At 48.5% G+C, this 16,261-nt stretch overlaps 1 protein-coding gene and 1 long non-coding RNA gene across 13 annotated transcripts in view, besides 2 other annotated features; one reads left to right on the top strand and one right to left on the bottom strand.

Annotated features, from left to right (window-relative positions):
* HNF4A (hepatocyte nuclear factor 4 alpha) overlaps positions 1-16,261 on the bottom strand; it is a 78,898-nt gene that overhangs the window by 38,725 nt on the left and 23,912 nt on the right. For 3 of the 10 annotated variants that reach the window (NM_001287182.2, NM_001287183.2, NM_001287184.2), the window contains exon 2: positions 5,193-5,414. The exons of the other annotated variants lie outside the window; for them this stretch is intronic. In NM_001287182.2, the coding sequence (NP_001274111.1) occupies positions 5,193-5,232 (40 nt within the window). In that variant the 5' untranslated portion in view covers positions 5,233-5,414. The remainder of the gene's footprint in view (positions 1-5,192; positions 5,415-16,261) is intronic. 10 annotated transcript variants of the gene reach the window in all.
* The window catches only part of HNF4A-AS1 (HNF4A antisense RNA 1), a 38,963-nt gene continuing 22,867 nt past the window's right edge, over positions 166-16,261 (top strand). For 2 of the 3 annotated variants that reach the window (NR_172878.1, NR_172879.1), the window contains exons 1-2: positions 210-419; positions 11,200-11,349. This is a non-coding gene — a long non-coding RNA (HNF4A antisense RNA 1). Of the gene's footprint in view, positions 420-3,761; positions 3,864-11,199; positions 11,350-16,261 lie in introns of all 3 variants that reach the window. The other variant, NR_109949.1, reaches the window with a different exon arrangement.
* Positions 6,461-6,962: an enhancer, noted in NCBI's record as "H3K4me1 hESC enhancer chr20:43017550-43018051 (GRCh37/hg19 assembly coordinates)". NCBI's record gives its function as "activates a minimal SCP1, AML or CMV promoter by ChIP-STARR-seq in primed H9 embryonic stem cells {active_cell/tissue: H9 hESC(primed)}" and the evidence as "EXISTENCE:reporter gene assay evidence [ECO:0000049][PMID:30033119]".
* Positions 7,333-7,422: an enhancer, noted in NCBI's record as "active region_17923". NCBI's record gives its function as "activates an Ori minimal core promoter by ATAC-STARR-seq in GM12878 lymphoblastoid cells {active_cell/tissue: GM12878}" and the evidence as "EXISTENCE:reporter gene assay evidence [ECO:0000049][PMID:35858748]".

Genomic DNA, 16,261 nt, shown 5'->3' with positions numbered 1-16,261 from the left:
TCTTCCCCACCCACCACTCCGGGAGAGGTGCAGAGAAAACTGGGACTTATCAAGACAAAGAACAAAAGTCGTGGAGGAAAGAAGCCAAGAGCCATCTCTACTCTGGGGTAGGGCCCTTCAGTTTTGCCCCTTTGAAATTTCAAATTCCAGTTTGTGGACAAAGTCCTAACTATCTCACAATATAGGTCCCCAACCACTGACCAAACTCCAGTCCAGGCAGCCACCAGCTGGCCTGGTCTTGCTGCTTCCTTTAGCGGCTTCCAAGGTCCAGGGACAGGGGGTCTGGGCCACCAAGAGGCTCTGCTAGGCTGTCCCTGCAGCCACAGCCACCCCACTGGACCCCTGCCTCCCATCTGAGAGGACAGCCCTCTTCCTGGAGCTGGGATCTGACACTTGCTGATACCAACGGCAGATACCAGGTAGGTCCCCTCCCTTTCTCTTCCTTGAGCTCCTAAAATGCCACTCATACCACCCTCTGCACTCGGCAAAGGCCACTGTGGCTTAATCAAATCAGGCACCCACAAAGCTTCAAGACTGGAAAAGATGCCTTGGCTAACCCACCCATTTAGTGGACGGAAACACTGAGGCCGTCAGGGGAGTGGCAGCTGGCCACAGACTGAACCATAGACTTGGGGCCCAGACCTGGGGCCCCTCACGGAGCCTCAGAGGGTGAAAGGGACTTGCTCAAGTCCACGCAGCGGTGGTGGGTGAGCTTTGTCTTAACAACGAGCACTTTCTACTTCATCACAGACCATGAGTGGCATTGTGTTTGTTCACCCGATGATGGGTGGCCACTGGCTTGTTCACCCGATGATGGGTGGCCACTGGCTTGTCACAGGAGTATTTCCGAGAGGAAGATGAGGGAGCTTGGGGCTGAAGGCCAGTGGGTTTGGAAGGAAGCAACATTCATGTGGTTAACTGATAACTGGGCCCCATCCCTGGGCCTCCTTCCTCCCTCCCTGTCCTTAGCCTGATTAAGACCAACTTACCCAGCTGCTAATCATTGCTGAGCCTGTTGATTTTGCCTTAAAAAATTAACTGGGCATGAGTTTGCGGTTTTCCTCACCCCTAACCCTGAAAAGGCCTGGGTGGGCAGGAGGCCTCCAGGGTTATGCAAGAGGCCGCTGGCCTCCCAACGCATAGCCCACGGCCACCTCGGCTGCTCTCCAAAGAAGAGGCTTTGCTCAAGAGTCAACAGTCTGCTTGTTCCCCCTGTGCTGGGTCCTGAGCAAATTTGCTCTGTTACCAAAGAGAGATAAAGGCAGCTGGGGGAGAGCTTTCCAAACAGGGATGGGAAGCGGCAGCTTTGAGCTTGGGGTTCTAGAACTCTGCAGTGTCAGAGCCAGGAGAATCTTTAGGAGGATGTGGGCTGGGGTTTTTCAAGCTGGGTTCCGAGGCTCCCAGGAGCCAAGGGTATGCATCCACAGGCCCAGCTTCAACCAGCGACTCCCTTTTACATGTAGTCTTAATATTTTATTTGAGGGTTGGAAAACCACTGATTCAGCCCCATCCCCTCATTGCACAGATGGGGAGATGGAGATCAGAGGGGGAAGTGACTTGTCCAAGGACAGAAGGTCACCTCGGGTATTCAGGGGCTCCAGCCAGCATGGGAATGAATGGTGGGCTCTCTGTGGACCCGGGCAATGTCTTGAAAGACATTGGTGAACAAGACGGCTCTGCAAACGCCTTGCCATGCCGTTCTCCCCCTCCTCCCAGGGCTGGCTGGAAGCAGAGAGGTGCCTGAGAGCCATTGGAAGACCCAAGTCAGGGGAATGCACCTGGCTCTGTGTCCCATGGGCCCTGTGAGGATATGACCAGCAGCCAGGCACTGCAAACCGGAGACTACGTTATAATCCATCTCAGCCACGTCCTGTCTCTGGAGGCATCAGCACTTTGGGAGGCTGAGATGGGAGGATTACTTGAGCCCAAGAGTTTGAGACCAGCCTGGGCAACATAGTGAGACCCTGTGTCTATTTTTTAAAAAGATTTTTTAAAATTAAAGACAGATGCCCAGTCCCTATCACAAAAAAAGATGTAGAGCCCTGCCCTGACTCTCTCCACCTCTCTGAGCCTCAGTTTCTTCACCTGTAAATTGGGAATTATAATACTTAACTTCCAGGGTTGTCATGAAAATGAAATGAAGCAAAATATACACATTGATCATCATGGCCACTGGATATGCAGCTGTTTTAGGAGCTTTGCATGTGTTACTTCCTTGATCCTCCCAGCCACTCTGGGAGGTAGGCAATGTTTTCACCAATTTTTTACACACCAGAGGCACAGGGAGGTTGAGCCATATACCCATGCTCACACAGCTGATGAGAAACAAGAAGTGGAATTGGAACTTGGGCAGTCTGTCTCTAGAGTCTGTGCCTCTAACTCCAGGGCTACCCTTCCCTTCCAGGGATGCCAGTGAGAGATGGCCAGGAGAAGGGCAGAGAGCAGGGCACTGTGGGAGATGCTGACTGTAAGGCTCCGGAGGTAGGGCAGAGAGTATGGTCTGGAGAATGATCAGGAAGGAAGCCAGGAGGACTTGGATCTGTGTGGGTGGAGCTTCTCCGCAGGCTGCCTCCTGCCAGGTGGCTTATGACATCTGGGCTGAGGGTGTTGCTGTCCTCCTGTTTATGTTCATCCCTCCTGTTTATGTTCCTGAATTTATCTGCAGGGGTGACCTTGGGAATTAGATGCGGCCTTCCCGGCCCTTGTGGGGCCTGAAGGCTGATGGGAGCCCCTGCCTGACCCAGACTCTGGTTTGGGGAGTGAGGGCTGAGCCCACATCCCAGAAGCCACCCTTGGTCTCCCCATACTCTTGTTCTGAGGGGCCCCAGGGATTTGCCAGGTCACTAAGGTGAAGTGTTTGGAAGTCCTGAGGCTCAGATCAGAGTTACTGCCCTGTACAGTTGTGCAGGTTGCTCACTGCACAAAGGTTCTCCAGCCAAGAGGGCAGGTAGGGATGGAAACCCAGCCCTTGTTCCACTTGCCAAGCGAAGTGCCCATGGAGCTCTGCCTGCCCAGAGTGGGGTGCCTTTTTCTTATTTGCCCTAGGGCTTCATGTAAGCTGCTGGGTGTCCTGCCCCAGCTCTGGTTCCAGCCACTGTGTGTCCTTGGGCAAGGTCATTTCCCTCCCTGGCCTTGGTTTCCCATTGGAGAAGTTTTGTCTAACAAAGCAGAGACTCATCTCTGAAGATGAAATAGAATCATCTGAAACCTTTAAAATATACAGATGTTGGCCGAACATGGTGGCTTACACCTATAATCCTAGCACTTTGGGAGGCTGAGATGGGAGGTTTACTTGAACCCAGGAGTTTGAGACCAGCCTGGGCAACATAGTGAGACCCTATGTCTATTTTTTAAAAAGATTTTTTAAAATTAAAGACAGATGCCCAGTCCCTATCACAGATCAATGATCGAATCTTGGGGTAGGGGTGGGGAGGTGCCAGGCGTCTATATTTTTGTGCAGCCAATATTGAGACCCACTGTAGGGGGGCTTCAAATTTGAACCTGGAAAGCCTTCGATGGCATCAAGTTCTATCACTTACTACAACTTACTAGTCAAAACCTCAGCGAGGCTCAGTTTTCCCATCTGTAAAGAGGGAATGATGATCGTTTCCTCACAAAATCAAAATGCCAATTAAATGAGATAATGTTCAGACAGTGCTTGGCACCATGTTCCCCAAGTAGGGAGCTCCTGATTCTTGCTACCAAGACTATTATTGTTGTTATGGGCAATTTGACGTTGACAAAATAAAGGGCCTTTCTAGGTCAAGGATTCGGTGACTTGAAGACAGGCCTCCTCTGTTGCTTTGAGTCAATTTCTAGTACCTGGGCCTAAATCTTGACTGCACACCGGTCATATTATTGAGGTATGTGTTATTATTATTATTTAATATTTTACTTAATTTGTGAACATCTTTACATTTAGTTTTGAATTGGTGCTACATTCGCATGGTTCAGAATCAAAACATAAAAGGTGTAAATTGAGAAGTCTTGCTTCCAGCTGTCTCCTGTTCACCTGTTCTCCTTGACTTCCTCACTATGGGGAACCACATCCCTTACAGATGTATCTGCCAAGGTTTCTTTATACAGACCAGATAGCATGTAAGATCATACATGAGTAGCCTCTGCTCTTACACTGTTCTGTATCTTGTTTGGTTCATTTAATATCACAACCTGGAGATGCTTCCATAGCAGCTGAGAGCAAGCTTTGAGGATGGAAGGGTTCTCGTCTCCCATCACAGGTGAGGAAACTGAGGCTCAGAGAAGAAACATCATTTTCCCAGTGAGCCAAGGCAATGGTGTTAGAACTATCTCTACCTGGCTCCAGAGCTTGTGTTTATGCCCCTGCACCGATACGGCCTTCCATGAAGCCCGGCCCAGAAAGCTTTGGAGTCTGGTTACATCTCTGCCATGCAGGCCTGGCCTTCCCAGGACAAGAGGTGAGGAGGGGGGCTGTCGGGGTCCTCACTGTGTCTGGACTCAGAAATCCCAAAGAGAGGATGAAGTGTAGAACAAAGAATGTCCCAAGTCATCCAGATAGGGACCCAGTGGGAAGGTGTCCCCTGGATGGAATAGTGGGGGCCTGGTGGCTGTGCCCGTCAGCACTGGAGAACCTGCCAGGAACTCTCTGCCAGCCTCAGGTGGTGCGGGTGGCAGGGGAAGTCAGGAGGAGGATGAGAGGCAGGGAGGGAAGCATGGCCGATGAGACAAGCTCTGGGTGAGGGGATGGAGGGGACCCCATGCCTGGAGCTCAGGAAGGAGGATTTGGAGTTCAAGGCAGAAGTGGCAATGAGATTTTAACCGATTGTTTTCTGCTCAGGGAACTTCAGGGTTCCCTCTGGATTCTTGACCTGCTTCAGTTTGCTGACTCACTGGCTTTGGGCAAGTCATTTTCCCTCTCCGTGCCTCAGTTTCCCCAACTGCAAAATGAGAGAGATAAGAGATCTGGTCTTTAGGCAGCCTTGGACTACCCCTAATACTCTACGGGGCTCCTCTCACCTTGTTGAGGTCGTCTGGATTCTCCTTCTCTGATTGGAACGTCATTCACCCATCAGGGCCATGGACGTTCCTGGGTTAGGGGATGAGGGTACAAATCCTCCACACTGCTCCCAGTCTGGAATCCTCCCCCTTGGTTCTGTGTCTCTCTCCTACCATCCCATCCTTCCTTCCAGGCAGATGTGGAGTCAGGACCATACCTGGTGGGTCCTGGGGGAAGCCCTGGCCCCAGTCCGACATCCTCCTCCTGCTGCTATGGGGTCCCGCACAGTGCACAACCTCTTCATCCTTGAGGGAGCTCCTGCTGGCCCCTCTCAGCACCCCAGACCCTGCGAGGGCCGCTGGGCAGAGTTAATCCCTTAATACTGGTCACAATGAGATTTCAGGGATGGTGGGAGGCGGTCTCCATGGAAACTGCAGACCTGTCCAGGATCCATGCAAGGAATTAGCCCCAGGGCTCTGCAAGGGGCTCCTAGAGAGCCAACCCCAATAGGAATGGGAGACACAGTGGTCTGGACTCCTGGGTCCTGCTCTGGCCCTCCTGTTGTCTCTCTGGAGGGCTTGGAAAAAACCATAACTCTTGCATTGCTTCAGTATTCTGCTCAACTGGACAGAGCCATATTCACAGGGAGAGCCCTATCACCTTTCTGAGCGTGTTTCTCCATCCCCCTATTGGCATTGTAATCCTTAACCCAGTGGCTTTTCTAGAAGAGTGCAGGCTTCAGAGTCTGCCAGACCTGAGCTTGAAGCTCAGCTTTTCCCTCCACGACTGTAAACTTAGCCGAGGCATTTCACTTCTCTGAGCCTCAGCTTCCTCATCTGTATGATGGGCACAATAATAGCAACATGGCATCCCTCTTGTGCTGGCTGGTGGGTAGTAACATCCAGTGAATGTGAGTCTCCTTCTCACCTTTTCCTGACTGCCACGCCCACACTGCACATTTGCCCTCCCCAGCCCCCTGCAGCTTCCAGAACCCCGTGGTCTCAAGCAGAGAGCTGTCGCACTTCCTTCTTTGCCTTCTCATCCTCCAAGTCCCATCTTAGTCATCTTCCTCCGGGAAACAGAACGCCGGGGTCCTCCTCTGTCCCCCCATAGCCCCCAAAGCTTTACATCATCATCGTTTAGTCAGATGGTAATTAGACTGGTTGTGTGCCTCCTCCACTGGACTGTGTCCCATCTACCATTGTATTCCCAGGACCCACTTGATATAAATAGGCTGGATGAATAACTGAGTGAATAAAGGATGGAAATCGTCCATCGAAACAGTCAACATTTATTCAGCACCTTCTGCGTGCATCGTTGTGGGTGGTGGAGATGCAGCAGGGAAGACCATGGGCAAAATATCCCCCTCAGAGGGGTGCAGATGAGCAAATAAAAATACAGGATGCCCAGTCAAATGTGAATTTAAGATACACAAGAAATACTTCGTTAGTATGAGCGTGTCCCAAATAATGCATGGGACCTGCTTATACTTTTAAACTGTGGTGTTCATCTGACACTCATATGAAACTGGGTGTCCTGTGTTGTGTCGGGCAACCCTACACCCTCCCTCACAGAGCTTGCGTTTTGGTGGAGAGGCGGGTTGCAGACATAAGCAAGTAAATACATGAAAAACGAAGTCAATTACAAACAGTGGTTAAGTGCAGTGAAGACGCACAGCGCGATGTGATAGCACCTGGGGATGGGCAGGACGATCCCCTGAGCTAGTGGCCTTTGCCTGCACAGGTCATTTTAGCTCCAATGAGATGCCACTTTGCAAAAGTTCTTTGAGGATCTTAAAGGGCACGGTGGAGGCTGCTAAACTTGAGAGAAGGACTCTGAGGAGGGCAAGGGGCGCACCTGAGGGAGTGGGGCTGCTAAGTCTCACTTGATAGACTCCACAGTTTTGCAACTTGGATCTGGGCCTTCACAAACCTTCGCGAACCCGCAGCCCCACCCCTCGGGTCAGCCAATGTCTTCTGTGGGGCTGGGAGCCAGGGGAAGAGGCCAAAGGAACTGTGCAGAGAAGCGTGGCCACCCGGGCCGCAGCTGGGAGCCCTGACACCCTTTGCCGCCCCACCTCATCCCGCGGTTGCCCCAGGGCGCAGGGCAGGGCAGGCACCGCGCTGGGCCGGAGGGCGTCCCGGAGGAGGCGGCCAAGACTCTCCGCAGTGCTGCGCTTTGCGCTTCCTGGGCTCCTCCTCGTGGCCAACGCAGGAACTGGTGTTCAGAAACTTAGATAGCCTTAGGGACTTCACCAATCACAGCAATCCCGCCAATCACAGGCCCAGACGCACTATGTCTCTCCAAATCCAGAGGAGGCCTGCTCGGTTCGATCACCAATCACAGCTCGTTGGATTTAGTTACCTAAAAGAACATCTCCCCATCACACACCAGCACATGGCCACGGCAGCAATCAGAACGTAAGATTTTAAAACCAGTTCCCAGGGTAGCAGCCGCTGCCCTTCCACCACCTACTAAACTTCTGTTCCCAGCACCTTGTTCCAATGTACGGGGGTGGGGGGGGTCTTTGAGGAAGGTTCCAGGCTTTGTGCTGCTTCCATGTGGAAGCAGATGTTAGCATGTATGGGGCATGTATAATGATATTACTATCAGTAAATGTCATACCCATTATGAAAATTAAGATAGGCAGGGCGTGATGGTGCATGCCTGTAACTCCAGCTTTAGGTGGCCAAGGTGGGAGGATCGCTGGATCCCAGGAGTTGGAGGCTGCAGTGAGCCACGATGGCGCCACTGCACTCCAGCCTGGGTGATAGAGTGAGACTCTGTCTCAATTTAAAAAAAAAAATTAATGTGTGGATATAGGAGTGTGGAAAAATTATAACCTTTGGGTTAGACACACCTGGAGCCCATATACTATCTTTGTGAAGTAGGACGACTCACCTCCCCTTCCTCAGTCGTCAAAAGAGAATGATAGTCATATCTACATGTCATATATCATCACCCACCTTCTCTCAATTATTCAAGCCAACATCTTGCAAGTCACAATCTTTGTGTTGTGTTTCTCATGCCTTCCAGTTCATCAGAAAATCCAGTTCTTGCCACCCTCCAAACAGAATCTAGATTTTCCATCTTTCCATCTCCACCCCAGCCAACCTTATGCATCATCTCTGGAGGTCTGCAAAAGTCTTTTCACTTCTTCCCTTTTTTTTTTTTTAAACCTGCCAGGGTTGGGGAGGGGATCTCCCCCGCTCCACCGCCCCCCCCGCCTCCCCCCCCCCCCGCCTGCCTCCACCCCACCCCTTCACTTTTTCTCCTGTGGCTTCCCTACCCCCTACTCTTCACTCAGGGGCCAAGGGTGATCTTGTACAAATGTACATTGGCTCAGATCCTCTTCTACTTAAATTTTTATGACTTCCTATGCATTTATAACAAAACTCATACAACTCCCACTTAACACTGTGAGGCCATGCACGCCCTTGTTTTTATATCCCTCCGTGTCCAACCTCATTTCATTCCACTTGCCCCCACCCCTATCAGCAGCAGGCATACTAGCCATTTTAAAGTTTTTCTTTCCTGTCTTGGGGGCCTTTGCATATACTTTCCCCTCTGCCTGGAATACTTCTTTTTTTTTTTTTTTTTTTTTTTTTAAGATGAAGTTTCGCTCTTGTCACTCAGGCTGGAGAGCAATGGCACGATCTCGGCTTGCTGCAACCTCCGCCTCCCAGGTTCAAGCAATTCTCCTGCCTCAGCCTCCTGAGTAGCTGGGATCCACACCCAGCTAATTTTTTAATTTTTAGTAGAGACGGGGTTTCGCCATGTTGGCCAGGCTGATCTCAAACTCCTGACCTCAGGTGATCCACCCACCTCGGCCTCCCAGAGTGCTGGGATTACAGGCATGAGCCACCACACCTGGCCTGGAATACATTTTAGTAAGTGTTTAATGGATAGTTGTTGGATGAATGACTGAAAAGGTCTTTCAAGAGGAACTGATAGTGATGTAAACTTCAAGTGCTCGGTGCGTAACAGGTATTCAATGAAAAGGATTCTATGCATATAGTAGAAATTTTGGAAAATAAAATAAAAATTGAAGATTTAAAAATCGTATGTGCTCCAACATTTAGAAAGGTTCAAACTCTTAATGGCTAACCAGGGTTTCTTGACCTAAGCACTAATGACATTTGGGCTAGAGAATTCTTTGTCGTGGGGACTGTCCTGTACATTGTCCCTGGCAGCATGTCTGGCCTCTAGCCACTAGATGTCAGCAGCACTTTTCCCTACCCTCAAGGTGTGATAATCAAAACTATCTCCAGACATTTATAAATGTCCCTTGGGGGTTGAAATTATCTCCACTGAGAACCACTGTGCTGGGCTTCTACCCTTACAAGAAATTTTCTCTCAGTCATTCAATGCTTCTCAAATCTTGGTGTCCATAAGAATCATCTGGGGCCATTATTAAAAATTCAGATGGCAGCTGGGCGAGGTGGCTTACACCTGTAATCCCAGCACTTCGGGAGGCTGAGGCAGGTGGACCACTTGAGTTCAGGAGTTCGAGACCAGCCTGCCAAACATGGTGAGACCTCGTCTCTACTAAAAATACAAAATTAGCCGAGCGTGGTAGCACATGCCTGTAATCCCAGCTACTTGGGAGGCTGAGACAGGAAAATCACTTAAACCCATGAGGCAGAGGTTGTGGTGAGCCGGGATCGTGCCATTGCACTCCAGCCTGGTTAACAAGAGCAAAACTCTGTCTCAAAAAAAAAAAAAAAAAAAAAAAAATCAGATGGTGGCTGGGCACGGTGGCTCACGCCTGTAATCCCAGCACTTTGGGAGGTGGGTGGATCACCTGAGTTCAGGAGTTCAAGACCAGCCTGGCCAACATGGTGAAACCCTGTCTCTATTAAAAAAAAAATTAGCCAGGCGTGATGGTGCATGCCTGTAATCCCAGCTACTCGGGAGGCTGAAGCAGGAGAATCGCTTGAACCTGGGAGGTGGAGGTTCCAGTGAGTGAAGATCGTGCCACTGCACTCCAGCCTGGGCGCCAGAGCGAGACCCTGCCTTAAAAAAAACAACAAAAAAAATCAGATGCCTGGGGTCCTACCTCCAGGTGCCAGGACCAACAGTGGGCCTAGTCATCAGATTAAAAAAAAGAAAATATTTAATAAATAGAGGTGGGGCATGGTGGCTCATGCCTGTAATCCCAACACTTTGGGAGGCCAAGGCAGGTGGATCACTGGAGACTAAGAATTCAAGACCAGCCTGGCCAACATGGTGAAACCTTGTCTCTACTAAAAGTACAAAAACTAGCTGGGTGTGGTGGTGCATGCCTGTAATTTCAGCTACTTGGGAGGCTGGGGCAGGAGAATTGCTTGAACCTGGGAGGCGGAGGTTGCAGTGAGAAGAGATCAGGCCACTACACTCCAGCCTGGGCGACAGAGTGAGAGTCCATAAATTAATAAACAAACAAATTAATTAATTAAAAAATAGAGACGGGGGGAGGTGTCTTGCTATGTTGTCCAGGCTTGTCTTGAACCCCAGCCTCAAGCAAATCAGCCTCCCAAAGTGCTGGGATTAAAGGCAGGAGCCATGGAGCACCTGGCCCAAGTGTTTAATGAGCTTCTGGGCACTTCTGATACCAGGTGCCCTCAGACCGCACTTTGAAAACTCCTCAAGGAGGCCTCTCAATCACCTGATCACCAAACCCTGTGTGAGGCTCCCTACCCACCTGGACCCTCTCCTTGAATTCCTCTCCTTTCCAATTATTACCCTTCCCTAGATAGCAAGTGGTGACAGAACCAAACCCTAGCTCAGCCAAAGCCCAAATTGCCTCATCTCCCTTCAGGGAATAGGCAAAAAAAAAAAAAAAAAAAAAAAAAAAAGATCACAGAGTTCAGCTGAAACCACTTAGGAAATATCAGCATCCCCACCTCCCCACCCAAAAGGACTCCTGAGTGGCAGCCTGAGAGGTGTGTCTGCTCATCAGAATAATGTTGTCAGACTGTGTTCTTTCTGGGGGATCATCACACTCCCTTTTCTGGGAACAAATGTTGGCCACTTGGTGGGATGGGCCATCATGATCTACGTCAGACAAATTCAGTGAGTCATGACTCAGCCTATCTCTCTAGACCCATCTTTTATGCCCCCTTACTTATAGTCTCTCTGAGGGCTGTTCTCAACTATTCTATTTCTCTCCTTTCCGGCACATGATGGGGATTACATTTTCTTGCTTCCTTTGAAATGAGATGTGACCATGTTACTTGTTTCAGGTAACGAGATGTGAGCAGAAACAACCTGTGTCACACCTGGGCAGAAGCTTTAAAGGCCAGTGCTGCCCTTGTTGGGGAAGCAAGTATAGATATGAATCGTTCCACAACGCGGAGCGCCCCCTGCCGACCCATGCTGGGCGTGTACTATAGGTGAGCAATTAACTTTGCTGTTCAAACCATTGAGACTTAGGGGTTTTTTTGTGGTTGCAAGCTAACTTCACTTCACTTGACTGAACACAGTCTTTCCAAAGTTTCACTAATTTTTTAATGACCATTATGATTTTTTCATATCTGTAACATTTTTCTTACATCAACTCACTTCTTTTTACTTCAATTTATTTTAGAAAGAAATATTATTACTACCAAATGAAACAGTATCATAAGTAGAAAGCAATGAGAAAATAAACAGAATGAAAGAAATCCTGATATCAAATCCTGACTTAATACTATTTGCCTTTCAAAGCCTCTGGACCTTTGGTCTTTATTTAAAAAAAAAAAAAAAAAAAAAAAAAAGGAGCCAGGGGCCAGGCGTGATGGCTCACACCTGTAATCCCAGGAATTTGGGAGGCCGAGGTGGGAAGATCACCTGAGGTCAGGAGTTCGAGACCAGCCTGACCAATATGAGGAAACCCCATCTCTACTAAAAATACAAAAATTAGCCGGGTGTGGTGGCATGTGCCTGTAATCCCAGCTACTCAGGAGGCTGAGACAGGAGAATTGCTTGAACCTGGGAGGCGGAGGTTGCAGTGAGCCGAGATCGCTCCATTGCACTCCAGCCTGGGCAACAAGAGTGAAACTCCGTCTTAAAAAAAAAATGGGAGCCAGGTGCGGTGGCTCATGCCTGTAATCCCAGCAGTTTGGGGGGCTGAGGTGGGCAGATCACTTGAGGTCAGGAGTTCAAGACCACCCTAGCCAACATGGTGATATCCTGTCTCTACTTAAAATGCAAAAATTAGCTGGGCATGATGGCATGTGCCTGTAATATCCCAGCCTCTTGGGAGGCTGAGGCAGGAGAATCACTTGAACCCAGGAGGCGGAGGTTGCAGTGAGCTGAGATTGTACCACTGCACTCCAGCCTGGGGGAGAGAGTTGAGACTCCGTATTTAAAAAAAAAAAAAAAAAAGAGGTCCCCAAGAGTACTTCTCAATCTTTTGGATCCCCAAAGCTGTCTAAGATTGTCAGAATATTTGAAGGCAGCACAGTATTGAGGCTGAGTGTACCAATTCTGGAACTTGACATCCTGGGCTTAAATTCTGGTTCAGTCATGGACTAGCTGTGTGACCCTGGACAAGTTACTGAACTGCTCTGTGACTGTTTTCTTATTTGCAAAATAGTGACCATAATGATGTGTATGGCATTAGGTCGTGGTGGGGATTATTTGTGTTAATGTATAAAAAGGGCTTAGAAGTGTGCCTGGCACTTAGTGAGTGCTATGGAGGCATTACCTATAAAATGATGGCAGGATCCAGATCCAAATAGATTTGGTGAATTATTGTTTGTTTTTTTTGAGACAGGGTCTCTGTCACTCAGGCTGGAGTGCAGTGGCGCCATCACAGCTCACTGCAGCCTCCAAGTCTCCAGGCTCAGATGATCCTCCTACCTCAGCCTCCAGAGTAGCTGGGACTACATGTGTGGACCACCACCCCTGGCTAATTTTTCTATATTTTGTAGATATGGGATTTCACCATGTTGCCCAGGCTGGTCTGGAACTCTTGGGTTCAAGCAATCTGCCCCTTCTTAGTCTTCAAAGTGTTGGGATTACAGACGTGAGTCACCCCACCCAGCCTGGAGAAATGTTTGAACTCCATGGAGATAAGTAAAAAATCCTCTGCATTGGTTAAAAATAAATCACCTGGATGATTTATTTATTTAGTGTAGATGGGAAAAGCTACCTTAGCAGAAAGTGACATAGCAAAATTCTAGAGGTTTTACTTGGTGGCAGCTGCCCAAACCTCTAACCCAGTCGTATGTATCATTAGAGAGAATGTAGTTCCCAGGTCAGAGGAGCTAAGAGGTCCTTGGCATTCTACTCCTAAGGAGCATATATGGACAATTGTGTTTAGTTTTCATTTTAATATGAATACTTAAAATTTTCCTAGGATGGCAGAGGATGAGAAAGCTATGCCCCTTAGGCCGAGTGCAGCGGCATGGCTCATGCCTGTAATCCTGGCGCTTTGGGAGGCCAAGGCGGGCGGATCACGAGGTCAAGAGATCGAGATCATGTTGGCCAACATGGTGAAACTCCATCTCTACTAAAAATACAAAAATTAGCCTTGCGTAGTGGTACGCACCTGTAGTCCCAGCTACTTGGGAGGCTGAGGCAGGAGAATTGCTTGAACCTGGGAGGCGGAGGGTGCAGTGAGCCGAGATCTCGCCACCGCACTCTAGCCCGGCAGCAGAGCGAGAGTTCGTCTCAAAAAAAAAAAAGAAAGAAAGAAAGAAAGAAAGCTATGCCCCTTGAAGAATAATCAAAGATCCAAAAGAGTTTTGGGCTGGGTATTGGAGAAGAGGAGAGAAAGGTGGTGTAGCAGAGTGGTCAGGGCCATTGCCTTTGAAATATCAGTGGTGCCATTTACATAGCTGTTGGACCTTGCTAAAATCATAAGCTCTTCAAGCCTTATTTGCTTCATCTATAAAATAGGAATCAATGATAGGACCTTTTCATAGATTGCTTTGTGGAGTAAATGTGTTAAACCTTATAAACCTGGCAGGTAGCTGCCCAGCATATAGTTGCGTTATTTACTCAATTCAAAGTACTTTCCTGCCGGGTGCGGTGGCTCAGGCCTGTAATCCCAGCACTTTGGGAGGCTGAGGTGGGTGGATCACTTGAGGTCAGGAGTTCCAGACCAGCCTGACCAACATGGTGAAACCCTGTCTCTACTAAAAACACAAAAATTAGCCGGGCGTGGTGGCAGTCACCTGTAATCCCAGCTACTTGGGAGGCTGAGGCACAAGAATCACTTGAACCTGGGAGGCAGAGGTTGCAATGAGCTGAGATCGTGCCGCTGCACGCCATCCTGGGTGATAGATTGAGACTCAGTCTCAAAAAAAAGGCAACAAAGTACTTTCCTTTGGAAAAGAGTGCCCACTGGCTGGGTGAAGTGGCTCACGCCTGTAATCTCAGCACTTGTGGGGCTGAGGCAGGCAGATCAGTTGAAGCCAGGAGTTTGAGACCAGTTTCACGTGGCCAACATGGTGAAACCCCGTCTACTAAAAATACAAAAATAAGCCAGATGTGGTGTCATGTGCCTGTAGTCCCAGCTACTCAGGAGAGTGAGACAGGAGAATCATTTGAACCCTGGAGTTGGAGGTTGCAGTGAGCAGAGATCGTGCCACTGCACTCCAGCCTGGGTGACAGAGTAAAACTCTGTCTCAAAAAAAAAAAAAAAAAAAGCTCTCACTGATTCCTACAGCTTCAGAGAATGAACGAGGACCAAAATGTGGATGCTACAGGGAGGAAACTTGAGGCTCAAAATGGAGATCTTTCTATAAAATACAATTGTTCTACCACAGGAAAAGCTGCTTTATTAAGTAGTGAGTATTCCGTCATTGGAAGTATTAAGCCCAAGCTAAATGGTCAACTGTCAGGGAAGGATGGTGAGAGGATTCCAGTGGGTTAGAGGTCAAAGAGCGTCTACCAGGTGCAAAAGTCTTAATTAACAAAGTACTATCAAAACCAAATTCATGTTTGGGAAACTGTATATCCACATGCAAAAGAATGAAATCAGACTCTTTCCTTACACCATATACGAAAATTAACTAAAAATGAGTTTGACGGAAAAGTATAAAACCTTTGGAATAAAACATAAGGGAAAAGCTTCATGATATTAGATTTGGTGATGATTTCTTGGATATGACACCAAAAGCACAGGAAATTTTTAAAAATTAGATAAATTGGACTACATCAAAATTAGAAAAATTTGTGCACCAAAGGACACTTGACTGAGTGAAAAAGCAACTTACAGAATGGGAGAAAATATTTGCCAATCATATATCTGATAAGGGGTTAATGTCCGAAATATATAAAGAACTCTTACAACTCAATAACAACAACCAAAAACTTTAAAAATGGACAAAGAGGCCAGGTGTAGTGGCTCAAGTCTGTAATCTCACCACTTTGTGAGGCAGAGGCAGGAGGATTGCTTGAGCTCAGGAGTTTAAGACCAGCCTGGGCAACATAGTGAAACTTTGTCTCTACAGAAAAATTTAAAAATTAGCCAGGCATGCTGCACACCTGTAGTCCCAGCTTACTTGGGAGGCCGAGGTGGGAGGACCACTTGAGTCAAGGAGTTTGAGGCTGTGGTGAGCCACGATCCTGCTGCTGCACTCTAGCCTGGGTGACAGAGCAAGACCTGTCTCAAGAAAACAAAAAAATTGGCAAAGGACTTGAATAGGCATTTCTCCAAGGAAGATATACAAATAACCATTAAGCACATAAAAAGATACTTAACATCACTAATCATTAGGGAAGTGCAAATCAAAACTGCAATAAGAGGCTGGGCACAGTGGCTCATGCCTGTAATCCCAGCACTTTGGGAGGCCAGGGCAAGTGGATCACTTGAGGTCAGGAGTTTGAGACCAGCCTGGCCAACATGGCAAAATCCCAAATCTACTAAACAATATAAAAATTATCTGGGTGTGGGCCAGGCACAGTGGCTCACGCCTGTAATCCCAGCACTTTGGGAGGCCAAGGCGGGCGGATCACGAGGTCAGGAGTTCAAGACCAGCCTGGCCAGCATGGTGAAACCCCATCTCTACTAAAAATACAAAAATTAGCCGGGCATGGTGGCATGCATCTGTAATCCCAGCTACTCAGGAGGCTGAGGTAGGAGAATCGCTTGAACCTGGGAGGCAGAGGTTGCAGTGAGCCAAGATCGCGCCACTGCACCCCAGTCTGTGCCACACAGTGAGACTCTGTCTCAAAAAAAAAAAAAAAAAAAAAGGAAAAGAAAAATTATCCGGGTGTGATGGCACATGCCTGTAATCTCAGCTACCTGGGAGGCTGAAGCAGGAGAATCGCTTGAACCCTGGAGGAGAAGTTTGCAGTGAGCTGAGACTGCAC

This window comes from Homo sapiens, chromosome 20 (assembly GCF_000001405.40).
Source record: "Homo sapiens chromosome 20, GRCh38.p14 Primary Assembly".
NCBI classification, from domain to species: domain Eukaryota; kingdom Metazoa; phylum Chordata; class Mammalia; order Primates; family Hominidae; genus Homo; species Homo sapiens.
The sequence above is the reverse complement of the archived record's forward strand: the minus strand, read 5'-3'. Positions and strand labels throughout refer to the sequence as shown.